This window comes from Homo sapiens, chromosome 7, assembly GCF_000001405.40.
Source record: "Homo sapiens chromosome 7, GRCh38.p14 Primary Assembly".
Taxonomy (NCBI): Eukaryota; Metazoa; Chordata; class Mammalia; order Primates; family Hominidae; genus Homo; species Homo sapiens.
The window spans coordinates 76,146,209-76,166,211 of NC_000007.14; the positions used below are offsets into that span (position 1 = coordinate 76,146,209).

At 43.7% G+C, this 20,003-nt stretch overlaps 1 long non-coding RNA gene and 1 pseudogene across 2 annotated transcripts; both read right to left on the reverse strand.

Annotated features, from left to right (window-relative positions):
* Positions 1-3,593: 3,593 nt before the first annotated feature.
* LOC100996476 (uncharacterized) lies at positions 3,594-4,417 on the reverse strand (annotated as a pseudogene).
* A 1,307-nt stretch (positions 4,418-5,724) lies between these two features.
* On the reverse strand, positions 5,725-18,180 carry LOC124901674 (uncharacterized). 2 transcript variants are annotated; one of them, XR_007060385.1, is made up of 7 exons: positions 17,803-18,180; positions 17,079-17,209; positions 16,713-16,889; positions 11,350-11,408; positions 10,192-10,246; positions 8,789-8,876; positions 5,725-5,968 (listed from the first exon to the last, which is right to left on the reverse strand). It is a non-coding gene; the product is annotated as an uncharacterized LOC124901674 (long non-coding RNA). The 2 variants fall into 2 exon arrangements; XR_007060386.1 differs by lacking the exon at positions 5,725-5,968 and adding an exon at positions 8,021-8,183.
* Between the last annotated feature and the right edge of the window lie 1,823 nt (positions 18,181-20,003).

Consider the following 20,003-nt stretch of genomic DNA (forward strand, 5'->3'; position numbering starts at 1 on the left):
ATGTCACCTTACAGCAGAGTTCTTAGACTCAGGTGTGCATGGGTACAATATTGGAAATTTGTCCAAAATGTAGAAACCCTGAGGCCTGGTGTGAGAAACACAGCCTTAGAGTTCTGGAAGGTCACTGAGAAACCATCACTTCTCCTCATGCCAAGGAATGAAGGACTAATGCATAGAACATAAAGGTACATAAAAACATACATGTCTTTGTTGTGTTACCAACACAATTATTGCATTTGAACTCTTATGCATTCAAACCTTAGACTAAATTACAAAGTGACTCTAAGCATTTCGTAATTTTCTACAAATGTTGATAGTGCAGGCCTGTCTACTATTTTTAACTCAGAAGGGAGTTCCATGGAGTTTAGCCCAGTATTTTGGAGCTAGAAGAGAGGATCGGTCATTGAGTCCAATACTCTACAGGTCAGAAAATGAAGGAGAGAGGGGTCACCCGTGCTCCTTTGGTCAAAGACTTCAGTTGAAGGGTCAAAGAGAATCCAGGCCATCTCCTGACTCGGGATTCTTTCAAGTTAGCAAATATGTGATGTTTTCATTACTCAGGAAAAGTGTATAGAACTACTTTCAAAAATATTTTAGGGACAATACACTAGAAGTGTTATCAAGAGATAAATTGCTTTGTAGTTAAAAAGTGAAAACTACAGCCTAAATGAAAGGAAGGGAGAATAAAAGGAAAATTGTATTTTTTTCAGCTGTCATTATAAAAGTGATGTTGCCCCCATTTACCAATGAAAAGACACTGAGGGCCACAGTGTCCCTCTGAGACCCTCTTTCCAGGGTCACATAGCTGAAATATGTGGCCAAAACAGTATCTTTCCCAAGGCTTATAACTGTAGGCCCTTGTACTACACTGTGCTATATCTGGTAGGAAAGAATATAGATACACAAACTAAAAAACATCACTTATTTTAAAACTCTTGTTATTTCATGAAATGGCAGACCATAATGATTTGGTGTGGACATTAAACAAAAAGAGTTTATACGCCTCATTAAGATAATTTTCTGGAGCTTTGAATCCATCGTTTATACATAATGTGTTCAGTATATTTTGTTTAGCCACAAAATCACAATTGTTAAATCTTTAATTACTGAAATATGAAGTTATGCAATTTATTTTTGAAAGCTGTGTATGCTACTCACCAGATTTTTGTTCTTTAAAAAATATTTTGTTTTGCAATTTTCCAAATACAGTAGACCCACAGTGCATATAGCAATCGTAAGACTTTATCAACCTCTGGTTTCTGAACTCACATCCAACATTCATTACTTTCCTCTATTGAAATTATTCCCCACTAGTGGAGTTTTTTTTTCTTTCTAGTGCAATGACATGTTACAGCATACCATCTGATTGTTTGTGAAATCAATTATTTAAATTAATTCAGGAAAAGTGCATGGAACTACTTTCAAACATCTTTTAGGGACAATTCACTAGAATGGCCCCTAAAACCAGTTATAAGATAAAACCAGGAATTGGATAACAATGATGGACAATATTGCCATTGTCATCCAAATCTTGGTTTTATCTTATAACTTAATTCAGAATGTTATTTGATGCCTACTTAATGGCTAGGGTTGCTATGTTTCTTAAATACTCATATTGTATTTCTAATGGTAATACCATAAATCTAAGCCTGGATCTTTCTTTTTACAACTGATATAAAGTGCATTATGATATTTTAACTGCTATTTACCTTCCTCAGAGAACTGCTGACTTTTCTATGCTGCATAAATATTTCTTATTTTAAGGTAATTTGTAATCTAATATTTTGAAGATTCCAAATACATATTTGAAAATAATATTTTCCTGGATTCTAAGTTGCAATAGGTTGAATTAACTCAAAGAAAACAACTTTCCATATGCAATAAGCTATTTGATTATCTGATTATCAACACCAAGGGAAAAATAGCGTTAATTGAAAAAATTATTTTTACTAATGGTTTTTTTTTTGAGATGGAGTCTCACTCTGTCGCCCAGGTTGGAGTGCAGTGGCGTGGTTTCAGCTCACTACAACCTCCGCTTCCCGGGTTCACGCCATTCTCCTGACTCAGCCTTCCGAGTAGCTGGGACTATAGGCACCCGCCACCACGCCTGGCTAATTTTTTGTATTTTTAGTAGAGACGGGGTTTCACCATGTTAGCCAGGATGGTCTCGATCTCCTGACCTCGTGATCCGCCCGCCTTGGCCTCCCAAAGTGCTGGGATTACAGGCGTGAGCCATCACGCCCGGCCACTAATGGCTGTTTTTTAAACGCTTTTTTGTATGTTGACTTCAATATGGGTTTGTTTGAAATTGTGCTGTTTCACATGTCAGATACAATAAAGCAGCTTCAGCAAAAAGATTCAACCGAAGAGAAGCTACAAGTCCCTCAACTTGCCCACATTCGCATTCCCACATTTCCAATTTGTTCCTCCTGCTTCAGTCAGTACCTATCCTTGGCACGGCTTCTTCTTCTTCTTTTTTTTTTTTTTGAGACGAAGTCTCACTCTGTCCCCCAGGCTGGAGTCCAGTGACGTGATCTCAGTTCACTGCAACTTCCGCCTCCCGGGTTCAAGCGATTCTCCTGCCTCAGCCTCCCAAGCAGCTGGGAATACAGGCGCCCGCCATTACGCCTGGCTAATTTTTTGTATTTTTAGTAGAGACGGGGTTTCACTATGTTGGCCAGGCTGGTCTCGAACTCCTGACCTCGTGATTCGCCCGCTTCGGCCTCCTAAAGTGCTGAGATTACAGGCATGAGCCACCGTGCCGGGCCCTCTCTCTTTTATTTAAAAGGATAGGCACAGCCTTTGGAACTGAATGTCTTTCTTCAGGCCTCACAATAGAAAATGAGGAAAGTCCATTCTGACAACTGGCTGCCTTAAGAAACAGAATTTGGGATTCTTTCCCTTCCAGCTCCTGTTGAGTCAAAGGCAAAGGCAATAACCCAATAAATGTGGTGAGACAGTAAATGGAAACTGACATAAACATAGCAATAAAAGCCTACTTCCTTCTTGACAATCAACATATAATGGAATGGGTATGATTTTACACCATAAAAGATCAGAGAATAACAGAATTTGGGCTGAAGAAAGTTTAGAAAGAAGACACAACATTTTCTATACCTTTTGATTTTCAAAACGATTTTTAAGATTTGTCGAGAGTATTTGTTTTCAATTGTTTCAGTGAGGCTCAGTTTGACCACATGTAACCAAAATAGAGAATTTCATGGAGGATGGTCACAGGATTGGCTTAGAAATGTAATCCTGTGAGCTGTCCCATTTTATAAAGGATAAGGTTCCAATGGCTGCACCGAATGTTCCTCCTTTCAAAGAGGCTGGGCCGAGATGAGCTCCCAGCAGCTAGAGCATTTTTAGTCCATCTTGGTCTCTCACCTCTGCCTCCTGCTCAGCTGTCTGAATGCCAGACGGCTGTGCAGCCCAAAGCAGCCCACTCCGTTTTAAACTTGCTCAGTTTGCAATCAGGTAACCCGCTACTGACAACAGAACCCTCAAGGCCTGTTTATATGCGGTTCTCAGGTTTAGGTCTAGGGAAGTATCCAGGAAGCTTAGTGTTCAGGGAGGAATTCATTTTGCTTTTGCTAATCAAAGAGACACAAAAGCACAGCTGAGTCCCGAAGCTGGCACATGGGAAATCGAGGTACCACTGTCCCCTCACCAGAGCACGCAACAATCACTTGGGGAGCGGGGAATAGGTCCCCACCTTCCCCAAGCCTGGGGCACCCTTCCTCCCACGGCCCCAGCTGGTGGTGGTCTCAACACCACGCTCAGTGCAGAGTCACACGCCAGAGCTGGAAAGGGGAGGTCCAGCCCCAAGTAAAGCGACAGAGTAAGGGCACAGTGGTGGCCAAGGGCTGTCCCCTAACCCCAGTTCCGAAAGACAGTGTGGAAGGTCCGTCAGCACGGCAGCCCTTGAAGCACTCTGCTGGTCCGGCCGCGGACCCTCCCCTGCGCGCCCCCACCTGTTGTGAAGCTCCCCAACCTCCGTCTTGCCCAAATGCTTTGGAAACTGCCAAAGGACACTCAGAGGCCAGGGAGTGTGACAGGCAAGCACAAATATGCAAAAGAGATGGCACCAACATAGCAGGCACGCAGGGCCGGCGCTCGCAGGGGTCGGGGATCTGGAGCCAGGCCCCCGCCGCCGTGGCTGCGCCAGTGGTGCCAAGACCCAGCAGGCAGCACCGGCGCATGCCAGGCACCGAGTCTGCAAAAGGGGCCCTGAGCCAGCGGCCAGACACCTCGCAGACTGCGGGAAGCAATCGTGGCGGCCGCCTCCCCGGGGCTCCACGGCGGACCCGCCGCCTGCCGCGGCCATCCCCGGCCCGCTCCTGCCAGGCCCCCGACCAGACACCCAGAGGCACCTGCTCTGCGCAGCCACGCAGCCCGGCTGCATGAAGCCCGGCATGGTGCCCCGGCCTGCCAAGCCAGCCACGGCGTGGGAAACCGCCGCCCACCAAGGCAAGGGCAGGAAGAAGACAGCGGCGGCCTCAGCTCAATATTTTTTTCTCAAAGGCATATCATAGTTTTAGCTTTGCTGCAGCCATTTCATCCATAATCACTTGCTGTGGCTGGGTAAAGTGATACACACGTACACACACATGCGCACACTGGTTTAGAGAAATAGAAAACGCAATGCCTAGACATGAAATGTATTTATTTAGATTTGTTAGATGGTGCAAATAAATATTTGTGTTATGCTCTAAGCTTTTAAGAAGCCTCTTGTATCTAAAATATAAGACACATATGTAAATGACATCCAACTGACCTGGATCAGGCCAATGTACTGAAAAAGGGCTACCACATGTTGCTACAGGGCCTCACTCTGTTGGTCAGTCTGGTCTCCAACTCCTGGGTTCATGTGATCCACCCACCACGGCCTTCCAAACTGCTGGGATTACAGGTGTAAGCCACCACGCCCAGTCTAAATTCTCAACATAAATAATAAAAGCCAGAAGATAATTTGACAGTGCTGAAAGATTCTAAAGTATGATGGCTTTAAAAAAAAAAAAAGCTGAAAGAAAAAACCTGCTCACCTAGCATCCAGTGCTAAGTAGCTGTTTCCTTTAAAAACTGATGGCAAAGGTCTGGCACAGTGGCTCCTGCCTGTAATTCCATCACTTTGGGAGCCCCAGGTGAACAGATCACGAGGTCAGGAGATTGAGACCATCCTGGCTAACATGGTGAAACCCTGTCTCTACTAAAAATACAAAAAATTAGCCGGGCATGGTGGCGTGCGCATGTAATCCCAGCTACATGCGAGGCTGAGGCAGGAGAATCGCTTGAACCCAGGAGGCGGAGGTTGCAGTGAGCTGAGATCATGGCACTGCACTCCAGCCTGGGAGACAGAGTGAGACTCCATCTCAAAAACAAACAAACAAAAAAAAAACATAGCCAGCGCAGTGGCTCACACCTGCAATCCCAGCACTTTGGGAGGCAGAAGCGAGTGGAAATGAGGTCAGGAGTTCAAGACCAACCTGGACAACAAAGTGAAACCCCAACACTACTAAAAAGACAAAAGTTAGATGGGTGTGGTGGCACGCGCTTGTAGTCCCAGCTACTCGGGAGGCTAAGGCAGGAGAATCGCTTGAACCCAGGAGGTGGAGGTTGCAGCAAGCCGAGATTGCACCACTGCGTACCAGCCCAGGCAACAGTGGGAGACTCCATCTCAAAAAAAAAAAAAAAAAAAAAAGATGGCAAAATAGACATTTTCAGATGAGAAAAAAACATTGTTATGGGAAGACATCCACGGGAAGAAATACCAGGGGGAGCTCTTCAAACTGAACAGAAAATTACCCTACCCCAACTGAAACACAGAGATGCAGAGGGAGCCTGGCCCAAAATACAACTTTTATATCCACTGGGTAACACAAAAATGTGTGTGACTCACTTTACTGCAGTGGTGCGGAACCAAACCTGTAATATCTTCAAAGCATGCCTGTAATATTTTACAGCAGCCCTGGGGAAAAAATATGCCATCCAATAAGAATTGTTGAAAACTCTACAAATAATTAGAAGAAATGAGTTTTCCACAAATTTACATCGAACTATGGCTTCACAGCATCACTCGTTCTTTACAAATAGGGCAATCATACACCCCCGTTAGCAAGCAACAGTCCTGGCCTAAAAGCACCCACTTTGATTCTCAAAAGTGACCTACTTTGGATAATAAATTGCATGATCATCCTATGTATGAACCCAATTAGAATACCCTTCTGTCTGTTCATCTTCGAATCCTACCCTGTTCAAGGATCAAGTGACATCTGACTCCATCTTCCCCACTGACAGGATAATTTTCTCTCCAGTTCCTGTAGCTTTTTATAAATATATATATATATACACATACATATATATATGTATATATATACATATATATGTATATATATATACATATACATATATATACATATATATGTATATATATACATATATATGTATATATATACATATACATATATATACATATATACATATATATATATATAAAATACCTTTAGCCATTATAATACTCATGTCCTATTACAATTACCTGCTTACATGTCCACCCCATGCTCTTAGCCACTTAGCACAGTGCCAGGAACTGAGAAGGTGCTCAACAGATGTTTTCTAGGTTTCTCAAATGATTCAACAGAAGACTGACAAAGTACCTGCAGAGACAGTGTTCTCTCACTTTTGTCCCTTACACACTCTCCAGGGTCCAGTGAAGGTGGGAGTAAAAAATTAGCAAACAACTAACTTGACAAGCAGTAGTTCTCAGACTTGAATGCACATCAATATCACTTGGAAGACTAGTTAAAACACAGAGTACTGGGTCCCACCCCAGAGTTTCTGATTCAGTTGGCCTGGGATAGGGCCTGAGAATTTGAATTTAACAAGTTTCCAGGTGATACTGCCAGGAACTACCTTTGAGAACCACTGCTGTAAAGAAAACACCACAATTATGAAAATGCCCATTTCTTCTCATGACTTTACTCCTAATGGGAGACTCCCTTTTCTGAATATGAGGGAATATCATTCCATGACAGAAGAAGATTATCCCATGGCAGAAGGCAGAAGGACAAGAGAGTGCGAGAAAGCAAGAGGGCAACAGGGGCTGAACTCTCTTTTACAATAAGCCCACTCTTGTGATTACTAATCTATTACCAAAATAACATTAATTCATTCATGAGGGCTCTCTTATTAGGCCCCACATCCCAACTGTTGAAGATTGAGTTTCCAGCACATAAACTTTGGAGGACACATTTAAACTACAGCAGAGCTTTTATGTAAATTCAACCAACAGGAGATGGGAAAATCAAAGGCATGAGAAAGACAGCAAGGACAAGCAGAGAAGTATGTGCAGGTTAAGGGAAAAAGTCACAATCAATCCTGTAGTGCAGACTACTTTATCAAAAGCACCTAAAAAAGATCTCAGTAACTCACCCAACTCATCTCCACCCACATCTAAAGAGCCACACACAGCACCACCAAAGGCAGCACAATGAGAACAGCGTTCTCCTCAACAGATAAGCTGTGAGTATCCAGACAGACACCCGACCTTAACAGCTCCAGAACAGCCCCAAGACAGCTCCTCCCTAACCACCACTCAAGTAACCAGCTGGGAAAGTATTCAGAAAACCCACATCCTGACACACCACTACCAAACAACTTAAACAGCAAAGAACAACCCATTTAAACAGCAATGCCAGCTGCCAGGAAAAGTAGGGACAATAAGTAGAGGAAAAGCAGACTCCTTGGGGTCCGCCAAGACCCAGTCTCTCAGCATCAGCACTTTCAAATGTAGAATCCACACACCCCTGGGGCCTGCGGAGCTCCACAAGGCATGTCCTCAAAGATAAATGAGCAGGCAAACTGGACAGAAAACCACTCAGGGTATTACTCTTTAAAATATCTTTACAGGGTCAAAGACGAATGGGTCTACAGGCTATGTGCATTCCCAACAGATTCTGAGAATGATGTCACTATCCCTTTCAAGATGTGTTTAACACTTTGAGGACACCTGTATTCCTGCCACTGAGCGCTACTGCTTTGCTAATTTGAACTGATTCCAGCTCACGCTGATCCCAGCTCCCTAGATCTGGTCACCATTAGCCAAGATTGTCATCCATATTGTAACCTTTCAAAGAGTCCTAAAAGCAGTTCTTCTCCTACTCTTCCGAGACAAGTAAAAATATCTGCCAAAGAAATGAAGAAAAAAGATTCAGAGAGAGAATAGAATTAACATACTACCAAGAGAGCAAAAAGTGAAGGAAGAGGAAAAACTAGGAAAATCATATGTGGGCTCACACCTATTTCCAAAGCTGAGCTAATATCCTTTTGCTTGTGTCTAAATGAGGCACCAATTTTAAACTGCTACTGAAAAAAAAAAGAGAGAGAGAGAAAGAAAGAAGCAGGCCCAGGCCCAGTGGCTCACACCTGTAATCCCAGCACTTTGGGAGACCAAGGCGGGTGGCTCACCCAAGGTCAGGAGTTAAAGACCAGCTTGTCCAACATAGTGAAACCCCATCTCTACTAAAAATTTTAAAAAATTAGCCAGATGTGGTGGTGCATGCCTATAATCTCAGCTATTTGGGAAGCTGAATCAGGAGAATCATTTGAACCTGGTAGGCGGAGGTTGCAGTGAGCCAAGACAGTGCCACTGCACTCCAGCCTGGGCAACAAGAGTGAAACTCCATTTCAAAAAAAAAAAAAAAAAAAAAGAAGCAGGCCCAAATTGTAAAGTAAAACTTTTAGCATAGAAAATAAGAATTGGTGAGAATTCCATTCCCTGGTTACTTACCCCATAGGCTGAAGAGCTGCCTCTGCCTCTAAGGATCAGGGCATTCTGTGTTCGATGGCAGAACCTAAGTCAGAATGCAGCACAATCCCTGAAAAGTTAGAACATCAGGGTGAGTTATCTTGACCTTGAGATTGCTTCTCTAGCTCTTTCATTTAAAAAAAATATATAAGAACCAAGAAGGAGATCCCCTCTTGCCACCTCAGTTATTTGAACTCAGCTACTCAATGTCCATTTTGTCGAGATCAAGGGCTCTCGTGAGTGACTGTGAGGCAGATCTGATCACTCAGAGGGCTAAAGGTAACCTTATGAAACCTGAAGATGTGAAAGGAGAATGTAGCTGCTGCTCAAAAACTCCACTAGCCCATCTTGAAAAGAAATCATCTACAGAGTAATTCCGTTTCCAATTCTAGTTTTATTGGGTGTCCCTAAACTTTTCTGCCCCTTTTTTTTTTTTTTTTTTTTTGGAGACACAGTCTTGCTCTATCCCCCAGGCTAGAGTGTAGTGGTGCAATCTCGGCTCACTGCAACCTCCGCCTCCTGGGTTCAAGCAATTCTCATGCCTCAGCCTCCCAAGTAGTTGGGATTACAGGTACACACCATCACACCCAGCTGATTTTTGTATTTTTAATAGAGATGGGGTTTCACCGTATTGGCCAGGCTGGTCTCAAACTCCTGACCTCAGGTGATCTGCCCGCCTCAGCCACCCAAAGTGCTGGGATTATAGGCGTGAGCCTCCGTGCCCAGCCTTCTGCTCTTTCTTATTTTGCCGACCGAATGTAAGAAAATTAAGCTAAGATACATTTTGTAACCAAACCAAAAGGAAGCTCTCTAGGACGTATGGCTACTATACTCAGGAGACTTGAACTTTCCTTGACCCAAAAATGGCTATCTGGAAGTCAGCATCCTCAGAGTACATTAATGCCGGGTGTGGTGACTCACACCTGTAATCCAGCACTTTGGGAGGCTCGGGCAGAAGGATCACCTGAGCGAAGGAGTTTGAGACCAGCCTGGCCAAAATGGTGAAACCTTGTCTCTACACAAAATACAAAATTTGGCCAGGCATGGTGGCGCACGCCTGTAATCCCAGCTACTCAGAAAGCTGAGGCCGAGGCAGGAGAATTGCTTAAGCCTGGTGGCAGTTAGCCAAGATTGCACCACTGCACTCCAGCCTGGATGACAGAGTGAGACTCTGTATCAAAAAGGGGAAGAAAGAAAAAAAAAAAGCTTGAGTGATTCCCTACACTGCATATGTTCATATCAATAAATCAAGGAGTGCCTGTATTGAGCTTCAGCAAAATATTTTTCGGGGAGGTGAAGGAGCAGTTCCATCAAATTAAAAGATTAATTTTTAAAAGCTTGAAGATTAATCTGTGCTTTTAAAAAGGATTTCACAGCTATGTTACCTGTTGTATTTGTTCTAGGCTGAGTAACATCAGTTGTATTGTAAGAAGTTCTGATCTGTAAAAACATAGTTGATATTAGTATTATAATAAAGCACTTAGAAGAAATTTATAGGCCTTTCTCACACAGCTGTGCACTAATTATTATTATTATTATTATTATTATTATTATTATTATTGAGACGGAGTCTCATTCTGTCACCCAGGCTGGAGTGCAATGGCATGATCTCGACTCCCTGCAACCTCTGTCTCCCAGGTTCAAGCAATTCTCCTGCCTCAGCCTCCCGAGTAGCTGGGACCACAAGTGTGCCCCAGCACAACCAGCTAATTTTTGTATTTTTAGTTGACACAGGGTTTTGCCATGTTGGCCAGGCTGGTCTCGAACTCCTGACCTCAGGTGATCTACCTGCCTCAGCCTCCCAGAGTGCTGGGATTACAAGCATGAGTCACTGTGCCCAGCCAAATTTTTAAATGGTCCACTCTGCCTTCATTTTATAGTGAAAAAACTCATTCTGGTGACTTGAATTTTGAAAATAGCAATTTTCAGACATTCAGGTGAGACCACCTGGGTATCTCCAAAGTCATCTTTTTTATAAGATAAATATGCAAAAGTCACTTTTCCCCCAAACCAGCTCAATTCTGTTTCTGAATCTTGGATGAACTGTCCCACAGCACAGCCAGAAGCAGCTTGCATCATCTTAAACCTTTCTTCTCCCTTATAACTGAGCCCCAACAAATATACACAGATACACAACCCCAATCAGTAAACAAGACTCTGCCCACTTCAACATTCCTTCCATGAGTAGAGAAAGGCCTTCTGTTCCTACCGCCTACACTCAAACTACCCACTGTGTTATTCTTCAAAATCAACCCAGAATAATCTTTCTAAAGGACAGATCCACATTATTTTAAGAGAGAAGTGCTATGAGACCATTTAATGACTGCCACTGCTTTTGTAGGATCTAAGGCCTTCCTCCACTTGGCCACCCAAGTCTATCTATGCAATCCTACAATGCCCACATGGCACTCCTCACTCCACACAGAATAGGTCAGGTATGTGAACATGTGAGCATACTTGACACCTCCCTGCCTTTACTCATATTTGAAACACGTTCCCTCCCTTCTGGATGCACAAGTGACTGATTGGGGTGTGCCACCTACCTCCTGAAGCTGGTTTATCAAGTTGTAAATCTTCATGTGTTGAATTCATAAGATTATGTCTGAAAGGTGAAAATAAATAATATTCATAAGCAATATTCAGCAAAGTAATATCCACTAGTACACATTTAACATTTAATTACCAAGGGTGGTTTTGAAAAGAAAAGACATGCTGGGCACAGTGGCTCACACCTGTAATCCCAGCACTTTGGAAGGCAGAGGCTGGCAGATCACAAGGTCAGGAGTTCGAGACCAGCCTGGCCAACATGGTGAAACTCCACCTCTACTAAAAATACAAAACTTAGCCGGCCATGGTGGCAGGTGCCTGTAATCCAAACTACCTGGGAGGCTCAGGCAGGAGAATTGCCTGAACCCGGGAGACAGAGGTTGCAGTGCGTCAAGACCATGCCACTGCACTTGCATCCTCGGTGACAGAGCAAGATTCCATCTTGGGAAAAGAAAAAAAATTAAGAAAAGACAATCTGGATGCTTGAGCACAACTAAATCTTCATTTGGGGTTTCTACAGAGTAACAAAAACAAAATGATAATTGCAAATTGTCTCATAACATGCTTCACGGAGCATGTGTCCTCACAAGTAAAGTGGTAACTTTGCAGCCCACAGGTCTTTGAAGCATATTACAAAAATCTTAAATGGGATCCTTTAGTCTCACATTGCATTCAAGACTATCTTCCTCTACACATCTAGAGAAACAATCATATATTCCCACATATGCTATAAAAATCTCAGGCCTAAAAGCAAGACATGGAAATTATTATTTTTAGCAAAAGTAGCAGAAAATTGTGAAAGAAAATATCAGTTGCATGCCAGTCAGGTGCGGGCAGTGTTCATGTTTCAAAAGGTAACACTAGCATGACTGACTCAATGTTGGACCCAGATAAATTAAAAAGTGATACATAAAAATACATATAATAGGCCAGATGCAGTGGCTCAAGTCTGTAATACCAGCACTTTGGGAGTCCGAGGCGGGCGGATCACAAACTCAGGAGTTCAAGACCAGCCTGGCCAATAATGGTAAAACTCCGTCTCTACTAAAAATGCAAAAATCAACGGGGCATGTTGGTGGGTGCCCGTATTCCCAGCTACTCGGGAGGTTTAAAGAATTGCTTAAAGCCGGGAGGTGGAGATTGCAGTGAGCTGAGATCACGCCACTGCCCTCCAGCCTGGGCGACAGAGCAAGACTCCTTCTCAAAACAACAACAACAACAACAACAACAACAACAAAATAAAATAACTCAAACTTAATTAAATATAACCCTAATGGTGAATGAATATTTGTCAACAATAACAAAGATATATTACTCAGAACAGAGATAAGAGTCCAACAAGAATCCAAGAGTCTTACTTTTTAAACACAAAACAAATCCTTTCCTTTGCAAGTAATATCCTCTCAAGGCCAGGAATTCCGTAAGTAGACAGCCTTCTTAAAAAACATTCCTGGCGGGGCGAGGTGGTTCATGCCTGTAATCCCAGCACTTTGGGAGGCTGAAGCGGGAGGATCACCTGAGGTCAGGAGTTCGAGACCCGCCTGGCCAACATGGTGAAACCCCAACTCCACTAAAAATACAAAAGTTAGGCAGGCGTGGTGGTGTGTGCCTGTAATCCCAGCTACTCAGGAGGCTGAGCTAGGAGAATTGCTTGAACCTGGTAGGCAGATGTTCAGTGAGCCGAGATCACACCACTGCACTCCACCATGGGCAACAAGAGCGAAACTCTAGCTCAAAAAAAAAAAAAAAGAGAAATATCCCATTGCTTTAAGGCAATGTAGACACAGCCAGACTTTCTACAAAAATCTGAACCACATTACAAAGCCAAAAAAAATCACCGTCTAATTTTATTTAATATATTTAGTACTAAACGGAAGAGGTAATATTTTCAAAACATAAACATTAGTGTAACCTAATTGGACTTTTACAAATAATTTTTTAAATAACAGAAGAAGATTCTCGTGAACTGCAACATTTCAGCGAGCATTTATTTACTCAAGATTAAAATAATACAACAGCTATAAAGAGTCAAGAGCTGACCAGGTGTGGTGGCTCATGCCTGTAACCCCAGCACTTTGAGAGGCCGAGGCAGGTTGATCACCTGAGGTCAGGAGTTCGAGACCAGCCTGGCCAACATGGTGAAACCCCGTATCTAACTAAAAATACAAAAATCAGCCGGGCGAGGTGGCACTCGCCTGTAGTTCCAGCTACTAGGGAGGCTGAGTCGAGAGGATCGCTTGAACCTGAGAGGTGGAGGCTGCAGTGAGCTGAGATGGTGCCACTGCACTCCAGCCTGGGTGACAGAGCAAGACTCTCTCTCAAAGAAAAAAAAAAAGTCAAGAGCATGGGAAGTATTAAAATCTAACATAATCAACGGTCTCCCATCAGAACAGCTCCATTTTTTTGCTATCATTATGTGTTAATGTCTATTTGCTAAACATTGATATCTGTACTAAAGTTTCAAGTGTACCATATAACACATTAGTGCTGACTTAGGTTTAATATCCTTTGCTGTACATTAAACTTCAGTATCATACCTATATATCACAACAAAACTATCTTTCTCTAAGGTAATTACCATTAATATTGCTTTAAAATTATGAAATGTGAAGATTATTTTTGTAATTTCACAACAGCTGAACGTTGTCTTTAAACAAAATAATCTAATAAATCACCATCACAACAAAAGCCCCACAACATTAATGTTTCACCTTATAAAAAGCATTGACATTTATAAAATTGTCAATTTATAAAACTGTAATAGCAAATTATTTTTACTCAGAATAGTACTAAATTAACAATATAATAAAAACATAGTACCCTAAAACTTAAATAATTAAAAAAAAAATCATTACCATTATTCATGAAATTTAAAAATCTTCCCAAAAAAAAAAAAAAAAAAAACATGGGCCAGGTGTGGTGGCTCATGCCTGTAATCCCACTTTGGGAGGCAGGTGGATCACCTGAGGTCAGGAGTTCAAGGCCAGCCTGGCCTACATGGCAAAACTCTGTCTCTACCAAAAATACAAAAATTAGCTGGTATTAGCTGGGCATGGTGATGCACACCTGTAATCCCAGCTACTTGGGAGGCTGAGGCAGCAGAATTTCTTGAACCAGGGAGGCAGAGGTTGTAGCGAGCTGAGATAGTGCCACTGCACTCCAGCCTGGGTGACAGAGTGAGATTCTGTCTCAATCAATCAACCAACCAACCAATAAATCGTTAAAAAGGAAGCATTTACCATGTATTTATATGCCCGGTATTATGTGAAACACTTTACTATCTTATCACATCTTCGGGATAAATATTCAGTTTTCATGAACACAAGAGAGGATACTAAGGCTCAGAAAGGAGAAGAGACGTGGCCAGGCTGTGTCCCCAGAGCCTATGATCTCACCACTAGGTTACAGTGCTTCCAAATAGCACGTTATGAGGTTTTTGCTTTAAAATGAACCAATAAAAAAGGCAAAAAAAGGCATAAGCTATTAAAAAGTAGGAGAAACACTGAAAGAACCTTAAGCACATAATTAAAAATATTATGGAAAAGTTATTAATTCATTAGCAAATTTACTCTAATTCTAGACTTTCATTGAGGGGTATGTTATATTACTCATGATGAAGAAAAAATGTTCGCTTCGAGTATATTAACATAAACACCAGCCGGACGTGGTGGCTCACACCTGTAATCCCAGCACTTTGGGAGGCTGAGGCGGGCGGATCACGAAGTCAGGAGATCGAGACCATTCTGGCTAACATGGTGAAACCCTGTCTCTACTAAAAATACAAAAACATTAGCCGGGTGTGGTGGCACATGCCTGTAATTCCAGCTACTCGGGAGGCTGAGGCAGGAGAATCGCTTGAACCTGGGAGGCGGAGGTTGCGGTGAGCCAAGATCGTGCCGTTGCACTCCAGCCTGGGCAACAAGAGTGAAACTCCATTTCAAAAAAAAAAAAAAGCATAAACACCATTAATACGGTTTATCATGTTTAAATGTTCACTTAAAGCACTTCAGTTAAAATTCTGCATATCACACAATTCTATAGCTTGCTAGTAGATTGCAAAGTAAACAGTCATTCAAATAAAAACGGCAAAACACATGATGTTTTTTGCTAGTTGTTGCTATTTTTAGGTGAGCATTTGCTATATACCATCAAAGAGATGACAACAACAAATTGCTGATTTCTTTCATCATTATATAAAGGTGGCTTTAGGATAGAATAGTATAAGGGCAAGGAAGAATTTGAAGTCTAACGTCAACTAGGTAATGCATCAAGATAAAAGTAGAGACAATAGGGGCATCTTGATGAATATCGAATTTTTTTTTTTTAGACAGAATTTTGCTCTTTTTGCCCAGACTAGAGTGCAATGGTGTGATCTTGGCTCACCACAACCGCCACCTCCCAGGTTCAAGCAATTCTCCTCCCTTGGCCTCCTGAGTAGCTGGGACTACAGGCATACGCCACCACGCCCAGATAATTTTGTGTTTTTAGTAGAGAAAGGGTTTCTCCATGTTGGTCAGGCTGGTCTCGAACTCCCATCTGAGGTGATCCACGTGCCTCAGCCTCCCACAGTGCTGGGATTACAGGCGTGAGCCACCGTGCCTGGCCAAATTAACAAATTTAACAAAGCAGATAGAGAGAAACAATTACTTTAAAAAAATAAAAAATGGCCTGGCGAGTTGGCTCATGCCTATAATCCCAGCACTTTAGGAGGCCGAGGTGGGTGGATCACAAGGTCCAGAGTTTAAGACCAGCCTGGCCAAGATCGTGAAACCTTGTCTCACCTAAAAATACAAAATTAGTGGGGCATGGTGGTGGGCACCTGTAATCCCACCTGCTTGGTAGGCTGAGGCAGAGAATTGCTTGAACCTGGCAGACGGAGGTTGCAGTGAGCTGAGATCGCACCACTGCACTCCAGCCTCGGTGACAAGAGTGAGACTCCATCTCAAAAAACAATATATATATATATACGTATATATGCGTGTGTATATATACACGTATATATGTGTGTATATATACGTATATATGTGTGTATATATATGTATATATGTGTGTGTATATATATACATATGTGTGTGTATATATATATACGTATATGTGTGTGTATATATATACGTATATATATGTGTGTATATATATATCTATTCAATTAAACCCCTAAGATCCAGGGATTTGCAATAAATATGTAAATAAATCCCAAATATCTATGCTGAATGTTTAAAATAAATGCTAATTGATAATTAGAGAAATACAACTTTTCCTTAGCTTTCTAGCAATCTAGAAACAAAGAATGTTTCTAATATTTAGACAGACACTACAAAGTACCTTACAAGGAGAGACATGTAAGGATGGCATGACTCACCAGCAGCCCTGGGCTTGTCCACAGTACCCCCATGATGAACAGTAACTCCATTGTGTAAATGCTCATGAACAAACTATCACAGGACTTTTCCAGTTCAGACACACCATATTTTCTTTCAGACAATTCTTCAACTTGTTTACGTAGATCAGCAATACAATTATTCCATTTCTCTGAAAACTGACCAAAAGTTGATTCTCAATACATCCCTATGTCAGAGCAGCAATAACATATAATGACTTATTTTCTATATTTTACATCCTAACAAACCATATCATTTTACTGCTTTCGAAAAAAATTTTCCCCTTTTTGGTGGTTCTTAGAATTACTTTAAAGGGAGACTATAAGAGAAGTTTTAAAGTTTAGTACCTCTTTTTAGCCTTTTAATTCTGAAAAGCAGGAGGGCAGAGAAGATCAACCAAATTAAACACAACAGCAGGGAGGCCACAATGAGGACGTCTCCAGGGGTCTTTTAGCAAACTTCCTAAAACATGTCTCAGCTGTGTGGAAATAAGATTTTACGGTGGTGGTGCGGGCCTGTAATCCTAGCATTTCAGGAGCAGAGGCAGGGCAGATCGCTTTGAGCTAAGGGCAACACGGTAGAAACCCCCCTCCCCTCCCCCACCCCCCAGTCCCACCCCCATCTCTACCAAAAATACAAAACTTAGCCAGGCGTGGTGGCAGGCGCCCGTAGTCCCAGCTACTTGGGAAGCTGAGGCAGGAGAATTGCTTGAACCCAGGAGGCGGATGTTACAGTGGGCCGAGACCACGCCACTGCCAGCCTGGATGACAGAGCAATACTCCGTCTCAAAAAACAAAAACACAAGGTTAAGAGGGACCCCAGACCTTACATATACAAGTTTAACTGGGACCCCAAAGCAAAAAATCCCAACCCTTTTTCTCCCAATCACTGAAACACCAGGAGGGTGTAACAGTTTTGTAGCCTAGCTGTAGTAGGCTGATGCCCCCAAGATGCCCATATCCTAATCCCGGGAACCGGTGAACATGACCTTATATGGCAAAAGGGGCTTTGCAAGTATAATGAAGTTAAGGGTCTTTGGCCAGCTTGTCCCGGCAGGGTTTATGTACTCACCTGGATCCTCGTAAGAGCACAGCAGGTGATGGAGAGCGGTGGGAGGTGTAGTGATGAAAGCAGGAAACTCGAGTCATTCCAGAAGGGCAGCACAAGCTAAGGAGTACAGGCCGCCTCCAGGGCCAGGAAACAGATTCTCCCGCAGAGCCTGGGAAGGCACTGACCCTGCTCCCACCTTGACTCAGTGGGACTGATTTTAGAATTCTGGCCTTCAGAAATGTAAGGGAATACCTCTGTGCTGTTTTAAGCCACTAAGTGTGTGGTAATTTATTGCAGCAGCAACGTGAAGCCTCAAAACCCACCTGAAGGGGCCAGGCGCAGTGGCTCACACCTGCAGTCCCAGCACTTTGGGAAGCCGAGGTGGGCAGATCACTTCAGGTCAGGAGTTCCAGACCAGCCTGGCCAACATGGTGAAACCCCGTCTCTACAAAAAATACAAAAATTAGGCAGGTGTGGTGGCACATGCCTGTAATCTCAGCTACTCAGGAGGCTGACACATGGGAATCACTTGAACCCGGAGGGGGCCGCGGGGGGACGGGGGAGGGGGGATGGAGGTTGCAGTGAGCTGAGATTGCGCCACTGCCCTCCAGCCTGGGTGACAGAGTGAGATTCCGTCTCAAAAAAAAAAAAAAAAAAACCCACCTGAAGAAGGTTTCCAGTTCTGCCAGCAGTCCCCCACCCAACCCCCAGAAGCAGACATTCCTTTGCTGTGGGCCATGAACAGGCAGAAGGAAGCGCCTCCTCATGGCAGAGGCCTACCCAGGAGAAACCCAAGGGAAGGCACTGCCGGGCCAGCCCCTCTGCCAAAGCCATTTTCTTTTTTCTTTTTTTTTTTTTTTTTTTGAGACACAGTTTCACTCTGTCTCCCAGACTGGAGTGCAGTGGCACAATCTCGGCTCACTTCAACCTCTGCCTCCCCAGTTCAAACGATTCTCCTGCCTCAACCTTCTGAGTAGCTGGGATTACATGAGCATAGCACACCTAGCTAATTTTTGTATTTTTAGCAGAGACAGGGTTTTGCCATGTTGCCCAGGCTAGACTCGAACTCTTGGCCTCAAGTGATCCACCTGTCTCAGCCTCCCAAAGTGCTGGGATTACAGGAGTGAGCCACCGCACCCAGCACTCGTCAAGGTCTTTGATGGCAGGTTTTTCCAGGTGATCAGTTCTTGTCTGGTCTGGCTCTGTCCCACTCTCCCTCTCACCAAGTTGGAACCCCTAGCTAGTTTTCAGATGGGAAGAATGTGTACCCCAATCCCAACTTGGTATGGTTCAGATCTGCATTTAACTCATGAAGCCTGGCTGCTCCCCAGGTCCTGGAGAAAAAAAAGGGTCTCGCTGCAGGTATGATACAGGACGGGCCTATCCCCAGGACCCGCCTGTCCCCAGGACCCTGTAAGAGGGAAGCCCAAATTCCCACCAGGTTGGGAGGGCTGGGGAAGGGAAAGTGTTATGGTAGCCCCAAGACTAAAAAGAGGCAGCAGAGGGAGCAGGACAGTGCTCCCAGGTAACTCATGCCGCTGCCTGAGTGAGGTGAGGGAAGAGTGCACCCACTGACGTCAGGGGGCAGAGAGGCGCGCTTCCAGGGCGGCTTTTCCCCTCGCTTCTTGCCATTTTACTCTGATCCCCTCCAGGTGAGCCTGCCCACTTTGGGCCCAGGGTTGCCGCTGGGGCCTGTACCCAAAAGCAGCCCCCCGTGGCCATGGCCCCAGGAGTGGGGCAGAGCAGGGAGGAGTCCTGGACCGAGGAGACGCAGGGGCAGGAAGGAATGGGCCTCAAACTCCAGGAGGGGGCCCTTCTCATGGGTCCTGCTTTCTGGCCTCTCCTCTCTTACCCCTGGGCTGATCACCCTGGGAAGAACTAAGCCAAGGTTTCTCACCCTCAGGTCCGAGGGGTTCAATTAACGGGCCCTTAGGGAGGTGCGAGCCTCCTGAAACGATGCAAGGTGCCTGGCCTAATTTTTATATTTTTAGTAGAGATGGGGTTTCACCATATTGGCCAGGCTGGTCTCGAGTTCCTGACTTCAAGTGATCGGAATGCCTCGGGCACACAAAATGTTGGAATTACAGGCGTGAGCCAACGCGCCCGGCCAGCCCTATTTATTTAAGCCTATACATTTTGCACTTGTTAAAAGTATTTGAACATACAATTACCATGTTTTCTTTAAGCGGTCCCTCCCTGTTGCACACTTGGATAGTTTATTT